Genomic DNA, 23597 nt, shown 5'->3' with positions numbered 1-23597 from the left:
AATCAGGAAAGATATTTATTGGCAACAGCTGCACTGAAGTTGGTGGCATTGTATTTTCCCTGAATGCCATTACTGGGAGAAAACTCAGTGAATATTTATTGAATAGCTATTCTGGGCAAGACGTAATATATGTTAAATATGCAGCCTAGTTTCTTATTAGATTTCTCTAAGCCCATAAACACTAATAAAAATGTGTGGGTAGTGCTCTTTTTCTTCTCTTTATATCCTTATGCCTTTTGGGGGGGCATGTTTTTATTTAAATGTCTACTGTTTGAATTTATTACTAGATTAAAATATGTACATATTTGGAATATGGCGGTAACTTCTTATTCAATCAAAAAGTGAATTGAGCTACAGTTCCCTGCTTACTTTTTTCCACCCTTCTCTCCTTCCCCACAAAGATGAGAAGTTTGAAATCTGTCCTATTACTGTATTTTTCATTTTCATTTCCTGCTCACATTTAATCCACATCAGGGACAATGAAGAAATGCAACTTCATTACCCAGCATATGCAAGAGACTTGTTAGGTCTCAGTATTCAGATTTAATTGTATAACATCCAATTATCTGTTCTGTCTCCCTGATTTCAGCTCAAGGGCAGTGGATCTGATTTGGTACATTAGAATATAATGGTAACAACCCTGTCTATAGGAAGAATTTTTCTATAGCTGTTTCCTCAGATTTGGTCTACTTTATAACTATCGTACCATTCATAAGCCACGGAGATGAAACCACATCTCTGTGGGATTGAAAAGGTCAATTGAAACTAGCAGCCACTTTTCTTCATGAAGTTCCAGCAGCACATTCTGTCTGCTGATATTTGGAGAGACGAACAACTCAAAGAGAAGGGGTCATTTTAAAATAGAATGGCCTCTCTGTGCTTGACTCCTTCTCATCAGTAGCCTCTAAATGGCCTCTTGCCAAAACCAACCAAGTGTGGCTTCTGTACTTCAAAGCCATCTGCAGTGACACAGCAGCCTTCAGGGAAGGTCACTGGGTGGACAGTTCTCCATGCAGCCTTAGTAGGGCCCAGAGTACTGCTTCATCCCTCCCTAAACCATAGTATACAACCCGCAGAGGCAAGGTGAGTCCGCTTCCATGCTACCCCATATTAGAGGGAGGGAAACAAAGGCTGGTATCTCATGGTAAACTCCAGACCTAATCCCTAAAGTCACCCTGGGAGTGCACAGGGAGACTCATAGAGTACAACCAAGGCATGAGGCTCGAGCCAAGGGACACTGGTCACCTGAGCTCACCCAGGAACCACAGTGGAAGGAAGACTGTGCTAGGCATAGAACTGGAAGACAGAGTCATATCAAAGTATGAAATTAGGAGGGCTTAACTGATATTGGCACAAAGAGAAAAGGCAAATGAAAACAAGGAGGCCTAGGAAAGACAGACTAGAGTTGTCAGAAGACCCAGGGGATGATTGGAGGGAGGTTCTTTTTGGAGGCCAAAGATTGAGGCTCCTGGTCACCCCCTGATGATACTAAAGAACCCTCTTTCTAGGGAATACAAGAAATAATGTGGGCCCCAACATCAGAATGAGAAAAATCCAGTCTGGCCAGAAACTCTCAACTCGAGATTCATTTCTGATGCCTTCTCTAGTTGAAAAATTAAATCTGGGCCGGGTGCGGTGGCTCACACCTGTAATCCCAGCACTTTGGGAGGCTGAGGCGGGTGGATCATGAGGTCAAGATATCAAGACCATCGTGGCCAACATAGTGAAACCCCATCTCTACAAAAAATACAAAAATTAGCTGGGCATGGTGGCACGTGCCTGTAATCCCAGCTACTTGGGAGGCTGAGGCAAGAGAATCACTTGTACTCGAGAGGCAGAGGTTGCAGTGAGCTGAGATCACACCACTGCATTCCAGCCTGGGCAACAGAGCAAGACTCTGTCTCAAAAAAAAAAAAAAGAAAAATTAAATCTAATGTATCTAACAGAGTAAAAAGATACTTCTAAATCAACTATCCTGGTATTATCAGGAAAAGTTTACAGGAAATAGGTCTGATCATTTGTCAGTATAACAAGATATAGGCAAATCAGGTATTTTAAGCCTGGAAAAATATTATACAAGGGAAAAATGTTTTATTCATTATAATGATAGCTATATTTATGCATAAGATATAACTAACTTTTTAGACTTTGTCTTATGACACTGTGGAAGGCCCTATAATAATAGTTCTATCCAGAAGCATGGCTTCTGTAGGTTTTCTCAATTAGGCACCAAGGGGGTAAAAAAATCTAATCTGTGTTGTCTGGGTTATGTAGGTCCACTTTTCAGTAGTCCACTATACATCACATGATTTATCTTTTTTTTTTTCCTTGAGACTGAGTCCTACTCTATCACCCAGGCTGGAGTACAGTGGTGTGATCTCGACTCAGTGCCACCTCTGCCTCCTGGGTTCAAGTGATCTTCATGCCTCAGCCTCCCAAGTAGCTGGGATTACAGGTGCCTGCCACCATGACTGGCTAATTTTTGTATTTTTAGTAGAGACGGGGTTTCACCATGTTGGCCAGGCTGGTCTCAAACTCCTGACCTCAAGTAATCCACTGGCCTTGGCCTCCCAAAGTGCTGGGATTACAGGCATGAGCCTCTGCACCCGGCCTCCACATGATTAATCTAAAGTTCTACAAGGGAGAAAAATGTATGTATACATCTACATATATATGCATATATATATATACACACACACACACACACAAAGAAAAAGAAAGATTGCTAAATTTGTTCTAAACAATGAACCTGAGACTTGTTGCTAAAAGCTTACTGTATTTACCATAAGTTGATTTGTTTCCTCTTTTTCTGTTTTTGCAGAAACCTAACAGTATCCTGAAACCTGATTACCAGCCCTTGGCCATAAAGAACATTTCCACCCTGCCCGTGAACTTGTTGCTGTCAACATCTGGACCCTTCTTTATATGTGAGACTGATAAATCCCTGCTGCCGGCAACTCCTGAGGTACCTTAATAGGGGTCTGTTCTGGCAAGCTGTCTGGGGTGGGGCGGGGTGTGATAAAGGAAGAGAAGAGTAATGATACACCACCCAACTTCAGCTCAGAAAGATGTAAAGGATCCAGGAAGCAAACAGGGAAGACTACAGAAAATTTAAAATGAGTGGTAAATCAGATGGAGAAACTGAGGCCCAGTATTTTGCCCAAGGTCTCACAGCTAGTAAGTGGCAGAACCAGGATTTGGACCTAACTACTCTGGCTCCAGAGCCTTTAATCTTAGGAATTAATATCCCTTGTATACGAAACATTTCTTCAAGTCTTTTTTGAGAAAAAATTCAAATATGGTGTTTTTTAGAAAATAATGTAGTCTAATTCCATTTTTGTAAAATCCTATTATTCCTCTCTCACGTCTGGACTAACATCTACCAAATGATAACTCTGAGAAATAATGTATTGTGAAATTTGGGATAAATTTCTCGTTTCTTCTTTGTGCTTTTATATATAATGTAAATTTTTGTATCATTTCTACAAAACAATAATGTCATTTTCCTGGAAAAAAAAAAAAGTTAAGTCAATCTTCAAAACATTTAATCACCAAGCATGGCGATACCGAGTGCTACAGATGCCATGATCTACAAGGGTGGGTCCTAACTTATGCCCAGCCCCTTGTGCCAGTGGTAAGATTAAAGGCCCAGTGGCTGGCCTGGCTTTCAGCTGGGATTAGGCCAATGCTGAAGAGTCATTACTCTCTCTCTGACTGTTGAATCAGGTGAGTGGCTTTATCAACCGAAACCATCTAATCATGTCATTAAATGCACAGTTAAATACCAGAATCGTTTAAGCCCAGTGGAAAGATGAGGTGCACTGAAAACAGATTCATTCCTGTGTCCATTCTTCCCAACTGCCTTAGGGCACTTGCTGCAAAACCACGAGGTGGCTTTCATGCCCATTAAATGTGGGAATTGAGCAATGCCTAAAAAAGCCAACTCATAGCCAGCCTTTCTACGGGAAGGTGTTACTGCAGACACTGGCATCAAGGAACACATAGGGATTGGAATCAAAGACAGAAAAGAACAAATAAAATGTACTGAACAAATGCTGTTCAGCTCTGGACTGTCATTTTAAGTTGAATAGAAAACAGCAGAAAGTGGATGACACTGTGCTTAAAAGTTAGGATTGCTGACATTAGAAAAGAAATTAAATTACCTAATCTGTCCCTTTCTGGGTCACTCTCTACAGAGCCCCCCACCCCCAACCCCACCCCCCAGTGCTTTAGAAAACCCTTTTAAAAATTTCTTAAGCAAAGAATTTTTCCCACTTGCCTAAGGGCATTTCACAACGAAATTTATTTTTAGTTAAGAATATTTTATAATAGTTATTCATTGTAGACTTTTCCTTTACAACTCCTCAATTCTTATAACCCCACACAACACTTATCAAAATCTCTTCCTTTAAATAATTCCAGATTTTCCTTGCTTTCATTTTCAACTAATAAAATGTGTATCCATATACATAAGTGTCTATACTTAGATGTACTAGCTGTTTACATATGAATGTGTATGTGTATGTTTTTCATACTAATATGTGTGTTTATATGTGTATGCACAAATATGCGTGTATCTGTGTGTGCATAAATACATGTAATGTGTATGTGTAAATACCTGGCTGTCCTGTTTCATGTACCAGGGTGGAAATGCATAGTACAAAAGTTAGTAATTTCCCCATTATCTTGTTTGTAGCCTATTAAACTGGAAATTGATGAAGAAAAAAACCTGCTGATCAAGTTTGACCCTTCCTACAGAAACGATCTGAACAACTGGGTGGCAGAAGAAATTCTAGCAATTAAGTATGTGGAACACCCTCAGATAGACAGCCTGGACCTGCGCGGAGAAGTGCATTACCCCAACCTCAGCTTTGAGACAAAGGAGCTGGATTTTGGCTGCATCCTGAACGATACTGAGCTCATTCGCTACGTTACCATCACCAACTGCAGTCCGTTGGTTGTGAAGTTTCGCTGGTTCTTCTTGGTGAATGATGAGGAAAATCAGATAAGGTACCCCCAGCACAGAACTCTCACAGAACTCTGCTTTTCATTTGTTTTCTCTTTCAGGCTTTTCATGGGGTTTTCTGTATTCCATGTACTGGCCATTCATGAATATTTTCCATTTTGACCACTAATTATTGACAGAATTAACAAGGAGCTTAAAATCACGATCCATCCTCGATTTCCTAACAGGAAACATAGATAAAACATCTTTGAAAGTCCCAATCACCACCGAATTAACAAAGCAATATCCATAAGCCCACTTTAATTTTGAGTCTAGTGATAAGACCATTAGAAATTCATCACTAAAAAATAAAGTCTTTGTAGAATTGTTTAAATTATTATTTTATTGTGGTAATATATATACAACTTAACAAATTTTTAAGTGTACAATACAGTATTATTGACTATAAGTAAACCAGATTTCTAGAACTTATCTTGCTGCACTGAAACTTTATGCCTGTTGCCCATTCTCCTTTCTCCCCAGCCCCCGCAACCACCATTCTACTCTTTGATTTTATTAATTTAACTATTTTAACTACCTCATATAAGTGGAATCATGCAGTATATTAGTCTTTTTCACACTGTTATAAAGAACTGCCTGAGAATGAGTAATTTATGAAGAAAAAAGTTTTAATTGACTCACAGTTCTACATAGCTGGGGAGGCCTCAGGAAATTTACAATCATGGCAGAAAGTGAAGGGGAAGCAAGGCATATCTTTCATGATAGCAGGAGAGACAGCAAGTGAGAGGGGAACTGCCAAACACTTTTTTTTTTTTTTTTTTTGAGACAGAGTTTCGCTCTTGTCGCCCAGGCTGGAGTGCAGTGGCGCTATCTGGGCTCACTGCAACCTCTGCCTCCCAGGTTCAAGCGATTCCCCTGCCTCAGCCTCCCAAGTAGCTGGGATTACAGGTGCCTGCCACCACGCCTGGCAATTTTTTTTTTTTTTTTGTATTTTTAGTAGAGATGCGGTTTCACCATGTTGGCCAGGCTGGTCTCGAACTCTTGACCTCAGGTAATCCGCCCGCCTCGGCCTGCCAAGGTGCTGGGATTACAGGTGTGGGCCACCGTACCCAGCCCTGCCAAACACTTTTAAACCATCAGATCTCATGAGAACTCACTCACAATCACGAGAACAGCATGGGGGAAACCACCTGCGTGATCCAATCACCTCTCATCAGGTCCCTCCCTCAGCATGTGGGGAACACATTTTGAGATGAGATTTGGATGAGGACAGAGAGCCAAACCACGTCATGCAGTATCTTCCCGTGACTGGCTTATTTCATTGAGCATAATGTCCTCAAGGTTCATCCATGTCATTACATATTGCAGAATTTCCTTCTTTTTTAAGTTTGAACAAAATTCTAGCCCCTTGTATGTATATAACAAATTTTCTTTATCCATCCACCTGTTGATGGACATTTAGCTTTTTTCTACATCTTGGCTATTGTGAATATTGCTGCAATGAACATGAGAGTGCTAATATCACTTTGAGATTCTGATTTCAATTCTTGGATAAATACCCAGAAGTGGGATTGCAGAATCACATGGTAGCTTTATTTTTAGTTTTTTAAGGAACTTCCATACTGTTTTTCACAGTGGCTGCACCATTTTGCATTCCCAGTAACAGTGCACCAGGGTTTCAGTTTCTCCGCATCCTCACCAACACTTGTTTATTGTTTCTTTAGTAACAGCCGTCCTAACAGGTATGAGGTGATATCTCATTGGGGTTTTTATTGAATTTCCCTGATATTTAATGACGTTGAGCATCTTTTCTATACCTGTTGTCATTTGTAGATCTTCTCTGGAGAAATGTCTATTTAAGTCCTTAGCCCATTTTTAAATTAGGTATTAGTGGTTTTTTGCTATTGAGTTGGAGTTCTTATGTATTTTGGAGATTAACCCCTTATCAGATATATGGTTTGCAAATATTTTCTCCCTTTCCATAGGTTGAATTTTCACTCTATTCTTTCCTTTGCTGCGCAGAAGCTTTTTAGTTTGGTGTGGTCATACTTGTTTACTTTTGGTTTTGTTGCTGCAGAATTTTCTTGAAAAACATTTCAAACTCAAAGCACAGACTGAGTAGGACCCTACATTGAGTATGTGTAGCACTGAGCTCCATGTTGCCTGTTTTACATATTTCAATGGGTTTCTGTTCTGGTTCATTTATGTATATGTATAGACATACACATAATTATAAAATAGTGGGAGGCAGCGATTGCTGCATTTTCTTCTTAGTTGGCAACCAGAACTAATGGGCTTTGTATATTTCCTTATTGGATGTTGTGACACTCAGTTGTTGGCATGTGAATATTGGACGGCCATTCTTAACTGAGGAAACCTCATGTTGTTTCCTTAGGGGCTTGTCAGTGCTTCCTGTCCATAATCCTCATCTTATGTATGACAGTCACCCTCTTCTCTCCTGCACTTGTTACCACGGTAACGATGGCTCGCTCTGAATGTTTTCCGTAGACATCTAACGATGACCTAGCGAAGCACTGAAGCCGGCAGCCGGTCCTGGGCCTGAGCATTGGAGTCTGCTCATTAAGTGCCAGGGACTGTTTGGGTTTGGAATGAAATTCTGTAGATGGTGAACATTTAATATAATTATGGAAAAATCAGCCAACCCGACCTAATGCACTTCAAATGCCAGATTTTGTGAAGTGATTCTGATGTAACATAGCTAAATGAGTTTATTCCATCTGGGAGCAAGGACATGCTTCATTTATTTTTTTATTTTTGAGAGGCTACTTTCATAATTAAAGGGATGAACTTTTGAAAATGTACTTGGCCACTACTGAAGATGATACACTTAATTTTTCATTGGTTTAAGCATTTATTTAACCGTTTTTCTCTTTCTTCGGCATCTTCCTATCTCTTAATATTGAGCCTCTGCTTATAACTTGTTTGTTGATTCATTTACTCAATCAGAGAGTCAGTCAGAAAACATTTGATAAGTGATTATTGTGAGCCACATATTGAGGAATCAGCACTATAAAAGTGAACAAGACGTGACCCTTGTCCTCAGGCTAGTGGAGAAAGCAGACATGTACCAAAGTGGACATGTGGCCATGCTGGGCTCTGTGGGTGGGAGGCCTGTGCCCAGAGAAGTCAGAAAAGGCTACATTGAGGAGCCACAGTTAAATATTCCAGATGGAGAGGCAGGAAGACATTCTGAGTAACAGGAATAGCATGTATCTATTAGTTAGAATTCATGGGTTCACTCTATGGCAAGTCATTGAAAACCTGACCCTAAGCGAAAATTAAAGGAAAGGAAATTCATTGGTTTTCACGACTCAAAATTCCAGATTCGCTTTGGCTTCTGGCCTGGCTTAAAGCAAGGATCATACAATGTCATCATTGGAGCCAGGTTCTCTGTCTCTCAGCTCTGCTCAGTTTCTTGTGTTAACCTCATTCCCAGATTAGCTTTTCTCTCCTAATCACCCAGTGGCTGCCAGCACTGCTGGGGCCATGTCCTTTTACACTCCGATCCACTGGAAAACAATATGAGGTCTTTCTCCCACAACTTCCAGGAGATTCACTCCGATCAAACTAACTGAGTCACATTTCTGTCCCCACTCCTCATCAGTCACTGTCAGGGGAGGGTGATGCACTCATCATGGTTGACCTGGTCACATGCCCGCCACCAAAGGCTGTGGATCATGATCTCTGAACCAGATGGACTGGAGGGGGTGGGAACGGGGTCACCAAACAAAAACTGACAGAGGGAGAATCGATGCTGGAGAGCAAATGACACGCTTCTACCATGATGTTGGCGGAGGGTATGTCAGCGTGGCTGGTGGGCAGACCTCACTGGGTGGGAGAAGTTGTGGGAGGTGAGTCTGGAGAGGTATGTTGGCAGAAGTGTGTGAGAGACCTGATATTCCAGAAGGAATTAACGCTCTTTCTTGGAGGCAGTGGTGGGATTTGTAATCAAGAAGGTGACAAAGGTTTTTGCAGAAAGGTAACGCTTAGCAGCATTCAGCACAGCGACCAACCCCACCTTCCTGAAATACATTCCTTTCTCGCCTTGCAGAACACCGTATTCTCCTGATTCTCCTCTTGTCCCCTCAACAACTTCTCAGTTCTCTGCCAGCAACAACTCCACTGGAGTAGAAGGATGGAGGGCTCCATCCTAGGCTTTCTCCTCTTCCTGGAAATTGATGCACCCCCATAGCTCCAGTCAGCTTCTTTTGCTAAGGCTTCCCAGTGCCTGTCTTCACCGAGCCCCCTCTGCTGAGTTCCAAGTCTGTTGCCTTCTTGACGTCTCCTCTTGGACATCCCTTGGATGCCTCCCAGGTGATTTATGCCTAGCGTGTTCCACATAAGCTCTGTTCCCTCCCTGCTCACCCCCAGACTCTCCTCCAGGGCACCCTGTCCCAGTAAATGACATCACTGCTCTCCTGGGAGGCATTAGGATTTCTTCCTCTCTCTAACCCCACCCACCCTATCAAATCCACCACCAACTTCTACCTATTCTGCCTTCTGAAAACCTCATTCCCATTTCCACTGCTGTTACCCTGGCTCAAGCCACCATTGCCTGTTACTGTGGTCACAGCCCTACCTGGGCTTTCTGCTTCCACGCATGCACCACAGCTCCTACTCCCCTCAGTAGCCATGCCACTGCCTTGGCGTTAAGCCTTTAGTAACTACCTGTGCTTCTTGGAATAAAGTACAGAGCACTCACTCTATTCTGCAAGGCTCAGCATGTGCTGGTCCCTGCGTTCCTCTCCAGATTTGCTCTGTGCTTCTGGCACTGACCTTTCTGTTTACCCAACACACCGGCCTCTGTCCTGCCCAGTGCTGTTCCTGTCCAACTGCCCCCTTCTTTGCTGGAAGCTCCTCCCCAGCCCCACCTAGCTGTCCCTGCCCCTTCTTCAGACTTCAGCTTCACCATCCTTCTGCAGGGAAGCCTTCTCCAAGATCCATCCTTAGGCCAGATCCCCTGTCATGGACATTGGTACTCCCATCTCCTTGGTGATTCACATCACGCCTCTGCTTATGGCTTGGTGTCCATCTTCCCAGCATCTCTTAATCCCTGTGAGGCCAGCAAGCACACCTGCCCTATCACCTCTGGAGCCCCAGAGCCCAGCACAGTCCCCAGCACAGAGTACATCCTCAAAGGGTGTTTCTTGGTGAATCAGCTGCTCCCACCTGGGTATTTGTAGAGAGAAGGAGATCATTTCATACCTGGCTTGAGATTCCTCTCTCTCAGCTTCCTGGCACCCGCCAAAGAGAAAGGTTCCAGGCATAAATGTCACCTAGAATAGACAAAAAAAAAAAAAAAAAGCCACCTGGTTTCCAGACAGACTGTCTCTGTGTAGGACGTCTGAAAAACATAAACCACATAAAAGTGGCTAAAGGTCACTTTTATCAGACATACACGAACACTAACCTTTCTTATCCAGTTAGGATTCTTCTAAGCCTTACAGTTAGTAAAAGAAACAGAAGTGTAAGAGAGGGTTTTCTTTTTCTTTTATTAGATAGGTCTGAGGTCGCCTAGACACTCTCATGTTCCTTCACAACACATGTACATCTGCGGTGCGTGTGCATGCACATGTGTGCATGTGACTTTGTAGGCAATTCTCACTCATCTATTTAAAGCATCCCTCTTGTTTGAGCTCACATTTTTTTCCCCAAGTTGGCCCTCATGTCACATCTAAGAACAAAGAAAGAAGTAAAATGGACAAGCATGCTAAATAAGTCCTCGGTAAGAGGAAAAGGCAGCCATTGCCTTTGAAGCCTGTGAGTTTGTGCCCGTGACAGGAAGCTGGGTCAACCATGGTGGATGGTGGTCTCTCCCCCTCCCACATCTGCATGTAATGAGAAAGCTGGCAGGAAGTGCCGGGGCTGGCCATTCATGACCACACAGCTGTCGCTGCAGGAGCCACCCTTTTATTAGGTCCATCTCTTCAGTCTAACTGATCAGCTTGATAACAACACAATGCTTCATGGCACCTGTGTGAAAGAGAAGCACAAGGAAACGGTGCACTTGAACCAGCTTTTACCTTTAAGAGGCCAGACTAGAGAGCCAACCGTCAGGGAGCCGAGCAGCCTCTGGCTTGGCTGGCATCTCTGCCCAGTCTCAGAGCGGGGAAGCTGAGGCCGCACTAGAACTTAGAGCATGTGGGCCAAGTGGTCTCCACGGACAGCTTTGGCTCTTCGTTTGTGAATCAGATTATAAATAAATCGAATACAAGGGCCTAAAGGGAGCCAAGTCCTGCAGCAAAGGAACATGTTATTCTCACACTGATTTTTCTATGATGAGCGCCAGCCAGCCAATATGGAGATTGGAAGAGGAGGGTGGAAGGCCTGGAAGGAGGCTGAAGAAGGAGCCTCATTTTCTGGATGCTTCCATCTATGTCTTCATCATTCCTCAATTTCTGTTGCTTCAAAAGTAGATTTTTTTTTTTAAACAAAGTCTCGCTCTGTCACCCAGGCTGGAGTGCAGTGGCACAATCTTAGTTCACCACACCCTTAAACTCCTGGGCACAAGCCAAGGACTACTGTAGCTGGGACTACAGGCGTGCACCATTATACCTGGCTAATTTCTGGTTTTTTTGTTGTTTTTTGTTTGTTTGTTTGTTTGTTTTGTAGAGACAGGGTCTTTCTATGTTTCCCAGGCTAGTCTCAATCTCCTAGGCTCAAGTGATCCTCCTACCTCAGTCTCCCGAAGTGCTAGGATTACAAGTGTGAGCCACTGTTCCTGGACCAAAAGTGGAACTTTTCTAAGATGTGGTGTGTTAGTGGTAGTTGGAGTCCTGGGCTGCCGAATCAGATGTGGCTGGTTAGAATCCAAGCGCTGTGCTCCTCCTAGCCATGTGACCTTGTGCTGCAGTTGACTTACCTGTAAAATGGTAGTCTAAAAGAGTTGCTGTGAGGATTAAATGAAGTGTATCTTAACATGCATATGTCCCTGAGACATGCCAAGCACTCCCAAATTGGTGGCTGTTTTTAGGTTCTCTAAGGGTCTCTTCCTTTGTACCAAATGCTGCTAAGTGAAGCAGCCCCGGAATCCTATAAGGGCTCCTACGGGTCCTCCTACGGGTCCTCCTACAGGAGCTCTAGGGTCCTTAGACAACCACAGATGGACCCAGATTCCTTTTACTTCCAACAAATGATAGAAAATCCTTTTCTTATACCAGGCTGCATTCATCAAGGCCAAAGCCAGGCTTTAGCCAAGCTTTGCTGTGGCCTGTGTGTGGCTTAAGGGGGCCAGGGCCAGGCAGGCCTCCCCTCCCTACCTGTCACTCCTCCCTGCAGCCAGATAAGCCCAGACCTTGGCTTAGAGGCAGTTCCTTGTTCTGCCCAAGGGCCCAATAAGAAAATAAAAATGTTTAGGGGAAATGTGATTATTTTTTCTTTCAGAATAAGCATTACTTTATTGAATCCCACAAGGGCAGGCACTAAGTACCCTTAAACCACAGCTGTCCCTGGGTAGCTCAGGGTGCTGGTGTCCGAGTCAGACTTTGGCTCAGCCACCTGCCCCATGTGACCCTGCTGGGTGGCTGAGCCTCCCTGAGCCTCGGCTCTTGTGTGAAATGAAGGAGGTTAATAATGGTGCCTTCCACAGAGGAATGTGGTGAGGATGCTAAGGCCGCTTTGTTATTGAAGAAATTGAGGAGATGGGTGCCTCTCTGATGTTGATACCAGGCCATATTTGAGCACTCCAGAGGCAGCTTTGAGATATTTTCTCCCACAATCAGTCTGAGGCCATTTCAGGAGGTGGGGAGGTCTCACAGGGTCCAAGGGCCGCAGGTACCTCTCACTGATCTAAGCTTTTGTCCCTTCCATAAACATCCTGTCTTCCTCACCAGCTTTGTACCTCTCAGAACGCTGTGAGCTCAAGTATTTGCGTTTTTCTTTTTCACTTCCCAGGGAAAAGTTTGGATTGGAGCCAAAAGTAAGCATTTAGCCCTGGGGCCAGAGGGAAGACAGGCCTGAGGAGGGGGCAAAAAGGTCATGAAGGGGAAACAGAATCAGGGGCCACAGCCTATTTTCTGCCCCCTCAGCCCCCTTTCTTCCCCGACTCTCTCCCTACTGTGTCTGAGCTAGGATGACAGACTTACAGCCCCAAGAGTGAACCCAGTGGGAATGGGTCCCTCCCCCTAGCAACTTCCTGTGGCTGCTGTAACAGGTCACCACAAGCTGGGGGTATTGGAACAACACAGATCTCTTCTCTTCCCATTCTGGAGGCCGGAAGTCTGAAATCAGTTTCACTGGGCCAGAACCAAGGTATGGACAGGGCCACTCTCCCTCTGCTCCCTCCGGAAGCTGCAGGGAAAATCCCCTGCCTTTGCTGAATTCCAGAGCTTTGTTCCTTTCACTGTTTGCATTCCTAGTCTCTGGCCCTTCCACCACCTTCAAAGCTGACTGCATACCATCCCCTTCTCCCCTCTCTGGAAGAACATGGCCCTCTGCCTCCCTCATATAAGGGCACCTGTGGTTAGATCACTGGGCTGACTCATATACTCCAGGATAATCACCCCTTCTCTAGATCCTCAACTTAATCACATCTGCAAAGTCCCTTTTGCCATATAAGGTAGCATTCACAGGTTCCAGGGATTCAAACATGGACATCTTGAGGCTGTCCCTTATCCAACCTATTCAGAGCCTCTAACATTACTGGCATTGAGTTCTTGTGCTCCCTTTACTCTCTTTAAAAATGGATCCTCTATTAATGACCATATCATTAGAAGCTTTGGTTGTAAGCAACGGTAATCCTGACTCAAACTTACAAAAAAAAAAAAGAAAAGAAAAACAGAATTTGTTGGTTCATGCATCTGGAAAGTCTAGGTTCAGGCTTCAGGCACAGCTTGATCCAGGACTTGAATAACATCACCTGCACCTAGTGTCTCTTCCATCATCCCTCGGCTCTGCCCTCTGCCATATTACCTCCATTCTCAGTCGGGTCCTATATGCACATGGTTGCAAGATGACTCAGCAGCTCCAGCTCTTCATATGCCAGGTTCAAGTCTAGTGGGAGGAAGTAGAGTCCTAGGAAATTTTTTGCTGTAACTCACTGGCACTGGTTGAATCCTGTGTCCCTCAACTATGGTCTGGGGAACTCACTGCTACTCCTGAGCCAGGCTGAATGTCAGAGATAGGCTAGTTCCCAGAGGGAAATGGAAGGTACCTGACCAAAGAAAGGGAGAATGGATGCTGGGCAGCAAAGAACAAAGATTCCACCTTCATGACTGATCAGGCTCATTGCATTTCTCTTGCTAGTCCTAAGCCAAAGAGATGGACATCTAATTGTGAAATTAGGTACCACCTGCATGGAAGGGTATTTGAGGAACAAGACCACCTTACCAATGCCCTGAGACCTGATAAGCTGGTTTACTCCTCAGGCACTGTGGAAAAGCAACTCACAACCAGACTTCATTCCCAGAATAGCCCCGTCACCATGCAGCCCTAAGCACCAGCTGTGCAGGCACCTTCCCGTTTTCTGTATGAAAGGCAACCTGCCTATTTTTGAAGCCTTAGAGTAAGACCATCGGTACAGTGTGAACAGTTCACATCTTTACATTGGGAAAATCTCTTTTAACAGCTTTCCAGACCACAAAGAATATGTCCAAGTAGGAAATATTTCCTGTAGACAGATGTATATGGCCAAATCTTCAACATGGAGCTATTGGGAGCAATGAAAGGAAGCTGCCGTAATCTTGACCAATAGCAGTAACTATGATTGAGTACCCACCATGTGCCAGGCATCATTCTAACTCATTACATGTCATACAGCAACCCCAGAGAGTGAGGATGAATACCCGCTTTTAGGGGTCCAGGCACCTGAGCCCACACAGCAGATCCCAGACCCCATTTGTTTTTGTTAATCATTTCAACTTTGATTTTAAATTCAGGGGATACATGTGCAGATTTGTTACATGGCAATATTGCATGAGGCTAAAGTTTGGGGTATGGATCCCGTCACCCAGGTACTGAGCATACTACTCAACAGGTAGTTTTTCAACCCATGCCTCACTCCCTTATTACCCCCTCTAGTAGTTCATAGTGTCTGTTGTTCCCCTGTTCATGTCCATGTGTGCTCAGTGTTTAGCTCCCACTTATAAGTGAGAACATGTAGTATTCGGTTTTCTGTTCCTGCATTAATTCATGTAGGATTATGGCTTCCAGCTGCATCCATGTTGCTGTATGATTTATGGCTGCATAGTACTCATGGTGTTTATGTACCACATTTTCTTTATCCAATCCTTTGTTGATGGGCACCTGGATTGATTCCATGTCTTTGCTATTGTGACTAGCACTGCAATGAACATATAAGTGCATGTGTGCATGTGTCTTTTTGGTAGAATAATTTATATTCCTTTGGGTTTGTACCTAGTAATGGAATTGCTGGGTCAAATGGTAGCCCTGTTTTAAGTTATTTGGGAAGTCTCCAAACTGCTTTCACAATGGCTGAAGTAATTTATATTCCCACCAACAATGTATAAGCATTCCCTTTTTTCCTCTGCCTCACCAGCGTGTTATTTTTTCAATAATCGCCATTCTGACTGGTATGAGACATTATCTCATTGTGGTTTTGATTTGCATTTCTCTGATTATTAGTGACAATGAACGTTTTTTCATATTTCTTGGTCACTGCTATATCTTCTTTTGAGAAGTCCAAGACCCCATTTCTGCACTGACTGCAAAGCCCCTGTTTTAACCACTGTCTTCTACTGACATATCAAAGCCCAATTTTTCTGTATATCTTATTACTATATATCTATTTTATATTTAAACGAACCTTCTCTGAACACTCTACCTGAATATTGTGCTATGTGTGATGGGGACTACAAAGATAAATAAGACTTACTGCTGTGCATGGAATTGATGAGCCCCCAAAGACAAACATGGAAACCGTTCATGGGGCACAAGGTGGGTGGATAAGCAGTGACTGTGTGCCAGACATTTCCAAAGATGGCTTCACTTCATATTCTCAGTAAGCTGATTTACATGGCAGCTGTTTAGGAAACACTGTTATTATTGTGATTTTACAAATAAGGGAAGGGCAGCACAGTGAAGTAAATAAGCACTAGATAAAAATGGGAAGGAAGGAAGGGAGGGACGGAGGCAGGGAAAAGGGCAAGAAGAAGAGAAGAGAGGGATAGAGGAAGGGAGGGAGGGAGGGAGGGAAGAGACAGGGAGAGAGGGAGAGAAAGGGGTGGGGTGAGGATAAGTAGGAAGCACAGTCTTTTCCCATCAAGAGTTTATAAGCTGAATGAGGAAACAAGAGGTTCATACAAATCCACAGCTACTGTTTGTTCCACAGTTCAGCACTTTGCCCTCTACTCCTCAGCCTTGCAAATATTACCCAGTGAAGAAATCTGGTGGGAATACTGACGGGGTCTGCTGGGGCGGGCTAGATGATCAGTCCCAGCAGGGTGAAGAGACGCCTGCTGCCCCTAGAGGGCTGAGTGCAGGGTGGAGGGAAGGATCCTCTGGGTGGTGGCTCCCAGCCTTATCCTGAGTCCCTGAATCAACATGTGAGAGCTGCTAGAGGTGGGAGCTCTCATCCTGAGACTGTGCCCTACAGGGGATTTTTAGTGATAATCATACCCCAACTGCCTGTGATAGCCAGTGGTTCCTGATTCAGGCAGGAACTGAGGATTTCCTTGGCCTGGCTGGCTCCATACCAGAGTTATCAGGAACCTCAGGGATCCTCTTAGTTTTTGCCTTAACTGGGTGAGGCCCCACCAGGGAGCATGTTGGCAGCAAAGCCTGCTTCCTGCTACTCTTTCCCATTGACCCTCTCTTTTGAGGCCACGATACCATCACAGGAGGGCAATATTCCCTACTTGTTGCCACAGACTGGGTAGACTGTTCCTGTGGGGCTGTTGCCTTGCCATGGGATTCTGCCCACAGGTTCATCACCAGCTTCTAACTGACCATCCTTTAGGGGAGGAAGTAGGTAGCTCTTGGAGAAGCCATCCTGCATCTGTTCCGAAGGGCTTGAAACCTCTGACTCTGTCCTTATATTAACAGGTTTGGAAATTCAAGTTCAGCCCCATGTCATAGGGGTGGAATTGTTTTTTCTTCTAGACATCATTCCTACAGTTTGGTTCACTGTCATTGAGGGAGGGGCAATATCAAATATCTAAGATCTATAGGTTTACTTTGCTCCTTGAGAAGGAATATCACTTATTTAAATAGACTTGAAATACATGTATAATTATAATTAAATATAATAGGTGTATTACATATGATATATAAATTAATCAGGTTTGCTATAAAGCAAATTCTCAAATAGACACACAAACATATATATGTATTATTTAACACAGTTGTGTTCAGGCTTTTTACAGCAGAACACTTTTTATGTAAATCACTTCAGAACAGACATGCTGAGTGAAAGAAAGTGTAAAGGAGTCCTTCTTTCTCCTTCTTCCCAGCCCCATTAGTTCCTGGGCTTCCTCCAAGGAACCCTCACATCTGTAGCTAGGGCTGAGTTAGCTGATGCCTAATTACTATTTAAGAATTACATTAAGTCACAAAGCAATGTTGAAATTTCTACACTTAAGTGTAATGTATTATACTATATTACTGAGCTCAGGCTGCCGTAACAAAATATCATAGAGTGTGTGACTTAAACAAGAGATATTTATTTCTCAGTTCTGGAGACTGGTAGTCTGAGATCACAGTGCCAGCATAGCCAAGTTCTGATGAAGGCTATCCTCCTGACTTGTAGACAGCCACCTTCTCACCATGTGATCGTATAGCAAAAGGAGAGAGAGAACACTCTGGTGTCCCTTCTTATAAGGGCACTAATTCCGTGAGGCTGGTCTCACCCTCATGACCTCATCTAAACCAAATTACCTCTCAAGTACTAGTTGGCCACATGTGGCTAGTGGCTATGTATTGGACAGCACAGATAGAGAATATTTCTATCATTGCTTAAAGTTCTAGCAAACAACTCTATTATAGACAATTTGAATGCATTTAATAGACTTACTATAATTGACATATGTAGAACACTGCACTAAAAAAAATCTTCTGGTCCCATGCTACAGTTATGAAAAATTACTGTATACTAGGGCTTAAAGCAGATCTCAACAAAGAATCTGTTCTGTCAGAAATCAATAGCAAATAGATAACAAGAAACAAACAAGTAAACAAAAACACAGGCTTAGACATTTTAAAACATACTTCTGAATAGCCTTAGATAAAATGGACAAATTCTTAGAAAAATACAACTTGCCAAAACTGACTTTTATAAAAAAAGAAATCTAAATGGTCTTATAACCATTAAAGAAATAGTTTCAAATATCCCCATTTTTAAGAACCCGCTAAGTCCTGATAGATACAGAAGAGTTCATCCAATGATTTAAGAAATAAATAATTTCAAACTTAAACTCTTTTCAGAGAAAAATATAAAAGACAATATTACCCAACTTATTTTATAAAACTAACTTAATTTTTATACCAAAACCCATTAAACCAGGTCACAGACATAAAGATTTCAGGCCATTTCACACTCATTAATTCAAAAATATAAATGTAAAACATTCACCAAAATATTAACAAACTGAATCCAGCAAAGCATAAAAAGATAAGATATAATGAGGTTGAGTTTATTCCAGGAATGCAAGGTTGGTTTAACATTACAAAATCCAGTGATTCAATTTACTATACTACCCCATTAAAGAAGAAAAAACATATGATCATCTCAATAAATCCAGGAAAAATTTCAGTAGAACCAACTATTCATGTGAAAATTCCTTAACCTGATCAAGGATAACTTTTTAAAATATGAAGACATGTTAAAGTCATTTCCTTTAAAAATCAAAAATAAAACAAGAGTTCCTTTTTTTTTTTTTTTTTTGAAATGGAGTTTCGCTCTTGTTGCCCAGGATGGAGTGCAATGGCATGATCTCGGCTCACTACAACCTCCGCCTCCCAGGTTCAAGCGATTCTCCTGCCTCAGCCTCCTGAGTAGCTGAGATTACAGGCATGCGCCACCGTACCTGGCTAATTTTGTATGTTCAGTAGAGATGGGATTTCTCCATGTTGGTCAGGCTGGTCCTGAACTCCTGACCTCAGGTGATCTGCCCACCTCAGCCTCCCAAAGTGCTGGGATTACAGGCGTGAGTCACCGCACCTAGCCAAGAGTTCCATTTCTATTCAACAATTTACTAAAGATCCTAGCCAGTGTAGGAAGATAGGAAAGTAAATAAAAGAGACTAGATTTGGAAAGGAAGAAACAAAAGTCATGTAATTATTATCTACATGGAAAACGCAAAATAATCAACAGACAAATTACTAGAATTAATGAAAGAATCGAGTGAGGAGGATGGATTGATATAAAGTTATAAAATTCAATTGCATTTTTTTTTTTTTTGAGATGGAGTCTCGCCCTGTCCCCTGGGCTGGAGTGCAATGGTGCGATCTTGGCTCACTGCAGCCTCCGCCTCCTGGGTTCTAGCAATTCTCCTGCCTCAACCTCCTGAGTAGCTGGGATTACAGGTGCCTGCCACCACGCCCAGCTAATTTTGTATTTTTAATAGAGACAGGGTTTTACCATGTTGGTCAGGCTGGTCTCAAACTGCTGACTTCAGGTGATCCACCCACCTCAGCCTCCCAAAGTTCTGGGATTGCTTACAGGCATGAGCCAACACACCCAACCTCAATTGCATTTCTGTATAGCAGCAACAACTAGAAAATAGAATGCGGTAAAAAAAAAAAAAGTACTTAGAAATAAATGTAACATAAAAACACAATATTTATGGATAAATGATAATTTTATTTAAAGTCATTAAATAAGACCTAAATAAATGGTGAGACATACTTGTTTCATTGATTTAAAAGGCTCAGTTCAGTAAAGATGTCATTTTTCCCCAGAGTGATCTATAGTTTAAATGTACTTCCAATCAGAATCCTGACAGGTTGATCCTAAACTTTATATAGAAGAGGGATAAGACTAGCCAAGCTCCTAGATATCAAGCCTTATTGTAAAAATATAATAAAGTTTAATGTGTGGTATTTGTGCACAGATAGGCAAATAGAATAAAGGAACAGAACAAAGACCCCAGAAACAGGCCCTTACATGTATGGAAACATGACAAAATTGAAATATTTGAATAAAGGAGAAGGGATGGCCTATTCAGTAAATGATCCAGAAACAATATGTCATCTATATAGAAAAAGGCATAAACAGATCCTTAAACTCACACTATACAAAATCACACCTGTAATCCCAGCACTTTGGGAGGCCAAGGCAGGTTACACAAGGTCAGGAGTTTGAGACCAGCCTGGCCAACATGGTGAAACTCCATCTCTACTAAAAATACAAAAATTAACCGGGCATGGTGGCATGTGCCTGTAATCCCAGCTACTTGGGAGGCTGAGGCAGGAGAATTGCTTGAACCCAGGAGGCAAAGGTTGCAGTGAGCCGAGATTGTGTCACTGCACTCCAGCCTGGGCAATAGAGTGAGACTCTATCTCAAAAAAAAAAAAAAAATTAATTCCAAATGGGTTAAAGATACAAACGTGAAAAGTGTAAGTCAGTTTTTTTAATTTGAAGAAAATGTAGGGTAATGCTTTGATGATCTCTGACTCTGAATAAGGAAGAATTTTTTTTTTTTTTAACAGACAGGGTCTCACTTTGCTGTCCAGGCTGGAATGTGGTGACATGATCATGGCCCACTGCAACCTCAAACTCCTGGGCTCAAGTGATTCTCCTGCCTCAGCCCTCCAACTAGCTGGGATGACAGACACACACCACCACACCTGGCTAATGCTCTTTTTAAATTTTTTGTAGAGATGGGGGTCTCATTATGTTGCCAAGGCTGGTCTCAAACTCCCAGCCTCAGGCAATCCTCCTACCTTGGGCTCCCAAAGTACTGGGATTACAGGTGTCAGCCACCTTGCCTAGCCTCAGAATTTCTTAAACAAGATACAAAAAGCACAAAATCATAGTGAAACTATCCGTAATCTCTATGTTGAATTTGAGAACTTTCTGCATCAAGAGATACCATTAAAAGAGTACAAAGACGAGGCACCAACAGAGAGCAGTTTTGGCATACAAACCACCTGCAGATGATCAGTCTACATACTACATAAAGAATGCCCTTGAAGGAAAAGACAGAATTCAACTAAAACCCAGGAGAGAAGAATGAGCAGGTATTTCACAGAAGAACAGATATGAATGGCCAATAAAGAATAAAAAGATGTTCCACCTCATTAGTAATCTTGTAAATGAAAATTAAAACATTTACAACTAGACACCATTACATACCCACCAGATTGGACAAAATTAAATATGATCGTACCAAGTGTTTCCACCAGCATTTCCTCCACAGTGTTTCCTGGATCTGCCTTGCCTTTCATCATCTTTCCCAGGAATCCTCCCTCCAGGCTCCCTACCTCACTCTGCTGGTGGCTTTCTTCCCTCTGGTCTCCCCTGGCTGCAGACCAACCTGAGATTACTTTTCTTTGAGCTGTTGCTTTCACCACCCCATTTCCTTCCCTGTGACTCAAGAGGAAAATGAGCCTTTCACTTTTTAGAAATACATGAATGTTTTCAAATCTACAGTTGTCTTTCAGGTATCCACTGAAGGTTGGGGCCCTTGAGAATACCAAAATCCACAGATGCTCTAGTCTCTTAGATAAAATGGTGTTCTATTTGCCTATAGCCTTCCAACACCCTCCTGTATACTCTAGATTACCCATAATAGCTCATGTAAATCTATGTAAATAGTTGCAGTATTGTATTCATTTTTTATGTGTTTTTTTTTTTATTGTTGTGTTGTTGGGTTTTGTCATTTTTCTTTTCTCAGAAGTTTTTGATTCCTGGTTGGTTGAATCACTGGATGCGGTACCCACGGATGCAGAGAGTGACTGTACAGAAAAAAAGCATCTATTGCCTTTCCAGGCCAAGCTTTCTGTCTGTTCTCCTCTCTAGCAATAATCTCCTCTCACTCTCAGTATCTTCAAGCTTCCTATTCCTTTGCCTACAGCACAAGTGCTTCACCTCTTAGAAAGCCCTTCTCTTAATCCTCTTGCATTAATTACCAACTCTCTACCAGGCAATGGAAGAAAACAGAGTACCCTAGTTGCCTCCATTCATTCCCCAACCCAATTTAAACTGGCTCCTCACTTGACTGAAACTGCCCCTGCAGAAGGTCAGCAATGATTTTATTATGAAACTACATTGTATGTGCAAAAGTATTTGTAACATAGATACATAGTTTGAGAAGCATAATCAATGTCCGCGCTCATGAGCCCCATTACAAATACGATACTGTTAGTAAATTTGAAGTCCCCTGAGAGCAGTAGACCACTTTACACTCCATCTCTGGTGTCCCCAGAACCTTCCCAGGGCCTTCATCATCCAGGCCTCCTATAGCCTGTTCATCTAGAATCTCCTCTTCTGCTGCGGTGGGTCAGCTAATTTATCTGACCGGGGGGTCAAATTACCCACTGAGGCTAATGAGAGGACTGTCTGCCATCTCTGAAATCTGAGCTTCCAGAGACAAGTTTCCTGCCTTTGTAGTCGACCTGCAAGTGACTCAGGGCCAAGCACAGGGAAACTTATGGAGCGGGGTAGGCCTTTAGCTCTCTTTATATTTAACTTAAAAGCTATCTCCATGTTGGGGCCCATACAGTCTACTTCTATTTGAAGCTATCTCCATGTTAGGGCCCATACAGTCTACTTCTATTTGCAATTCAGCTTAGTCTCATTTCCTGAGTTACCATATCCATTACCCCATAGGTAACTGAATTGGACTGTTTTTCATTTCAATTGTGAGTGTTATAAAACTTTTTCTCCTGCTTTTGTGTTGTTATAGAACTCTAGTCACCTTATTATAGCTTCTTTCTTTTTAAGGCATTTTCCCGATGTTTCCAGTATCAGTGGAGGGCATCAGACTTCCAGAGATTCAATGTGAGCTAAGCCAGCTTCTAATGAAATCAGCGGAAACTATCAGTACATATCTGAACCTAAGTCAGGGATGTGTCCGCTTGGTTCATGGAGTGATGTTCGTAAAAAGGGCTCATTTGGTTGGTCTACATGTTCATATTAATTAAAATCCTCCCAAAGCTAGCTACAATCTACTGAAAGCCAGACATTAAAAGAAATTGACTTTAAAAACCAACCTGTTTTGAAAGTATTTCTAAAGAGCTATGAAGCTGATAAGGGAGATTTCACAGCCTACCTGTTTGGCAGCCTTTCTAAGATCATGTAGCAGTGGGGACACCTTCTGGAGCGTTATAGAAGTGGCCTTTTTACACAGAAATCCATCTAGACTAGAGAGCTTCGAGGTAGATTCTGGGCACATTTCTCCACTACTCACCTGACAGCAAAACTGTTTCTGCAAAGTTACTTCAAGGGCAAGGTCAATGGTGTCTTGCTTTTGCTCATTCAGATTACAATCAGAATGGGTTCCTCTTCTTCCAAAGGTTCTAGACAACACATTGTATATTCCTTACGTTGTGGGTTCCAGTTACTTTTGGAATGAGAAGACCTGCTTTGGGAGTCGCTGCCCTGGGTATGGCATGACATGAAGGGACCCGGGAGAAACCCTCACCTGTGGATTGGCTAGACTCTCCAGCAAAGTCACTAAGAGCATGAGCTTTGGTGTGGGTCTAACGCAGCCAT

At 42.7% G+C, this 23597-nt stretch overlaps 1 protein-coding gene across 1 annotated transcript in view, besides 2 other annotated features; it reads left to right on the top strand.

Annotated features, from left to right (window-relative positions):
- HYDIN (HYDIN axonemal central pair apparatus protein) overlaps positions 1-23597 on the top strand; it is a 428639-nt gene that overhangs the window by 207584 nt on the left and 197458 nt on the right. The window contains exons 22-23 of the mRNA NM_001270974.2: positions 2822-2965; positions 4697-5010. Coding sequence (NP_001257903.1) covers positions 2822-2965; positions 4697-5010 — 458 coding nt within the window. The remainder of the gene's footprint in view (positions 1-2821; positions 2966-4696; positions 5011-23597) is intronic.
- Positions 12994-14193: an enhancer, noted in NCBI's record as "CDK7 strongly-dependent group 2 enhancer chr16:71042849-71044048 (GRCh37/hg19 assembly coordinates)". NCBI's record gives its function as "activates an origin of replication core promoter dependent on BRD2, BRD4, P300/CBP, MED14 and CDK7 cofactors, with strong dependence on CDK7, by STARR-seq in HCT116 cells {active_cell/tissue: HCT116}" and the evidence as "EXISTENCE:reporter gene assay evidence [ECO:0000049][PMID:35650434]".
- Positions 13759-14053: an enhancer, noted in NCBI's record as "tiled region #808; HepG2 Activating non-DNase unmatched - State 20:ReprD". NCBI's record gives its function as "activates a minimal TATA promoter and a strong SV40 promoter by Sharpr-MPRA in HepG2 cells {active_cell/tissue: HepG2}" and the evidence as "EXISTENCE:reporter gene assay evidence [ECO:0000049][PMID:27701403]".

The sequence above is a fragment of the Homo sapiens genome, chromosome 16 (assembly GCF_000001405.40).
Source record: "Homo sapiens chromosome 16, GRCh38.p14 Primary Assembly".
Lineage (NCBI taxonomy): Eukaryota > Metazoa > Chordata > Mammalia > Primates > Hominidae > Homo > Homo sapiens.
This window is presented reverse-complemented; position numbering and strand designations above follow the sequence as displayed.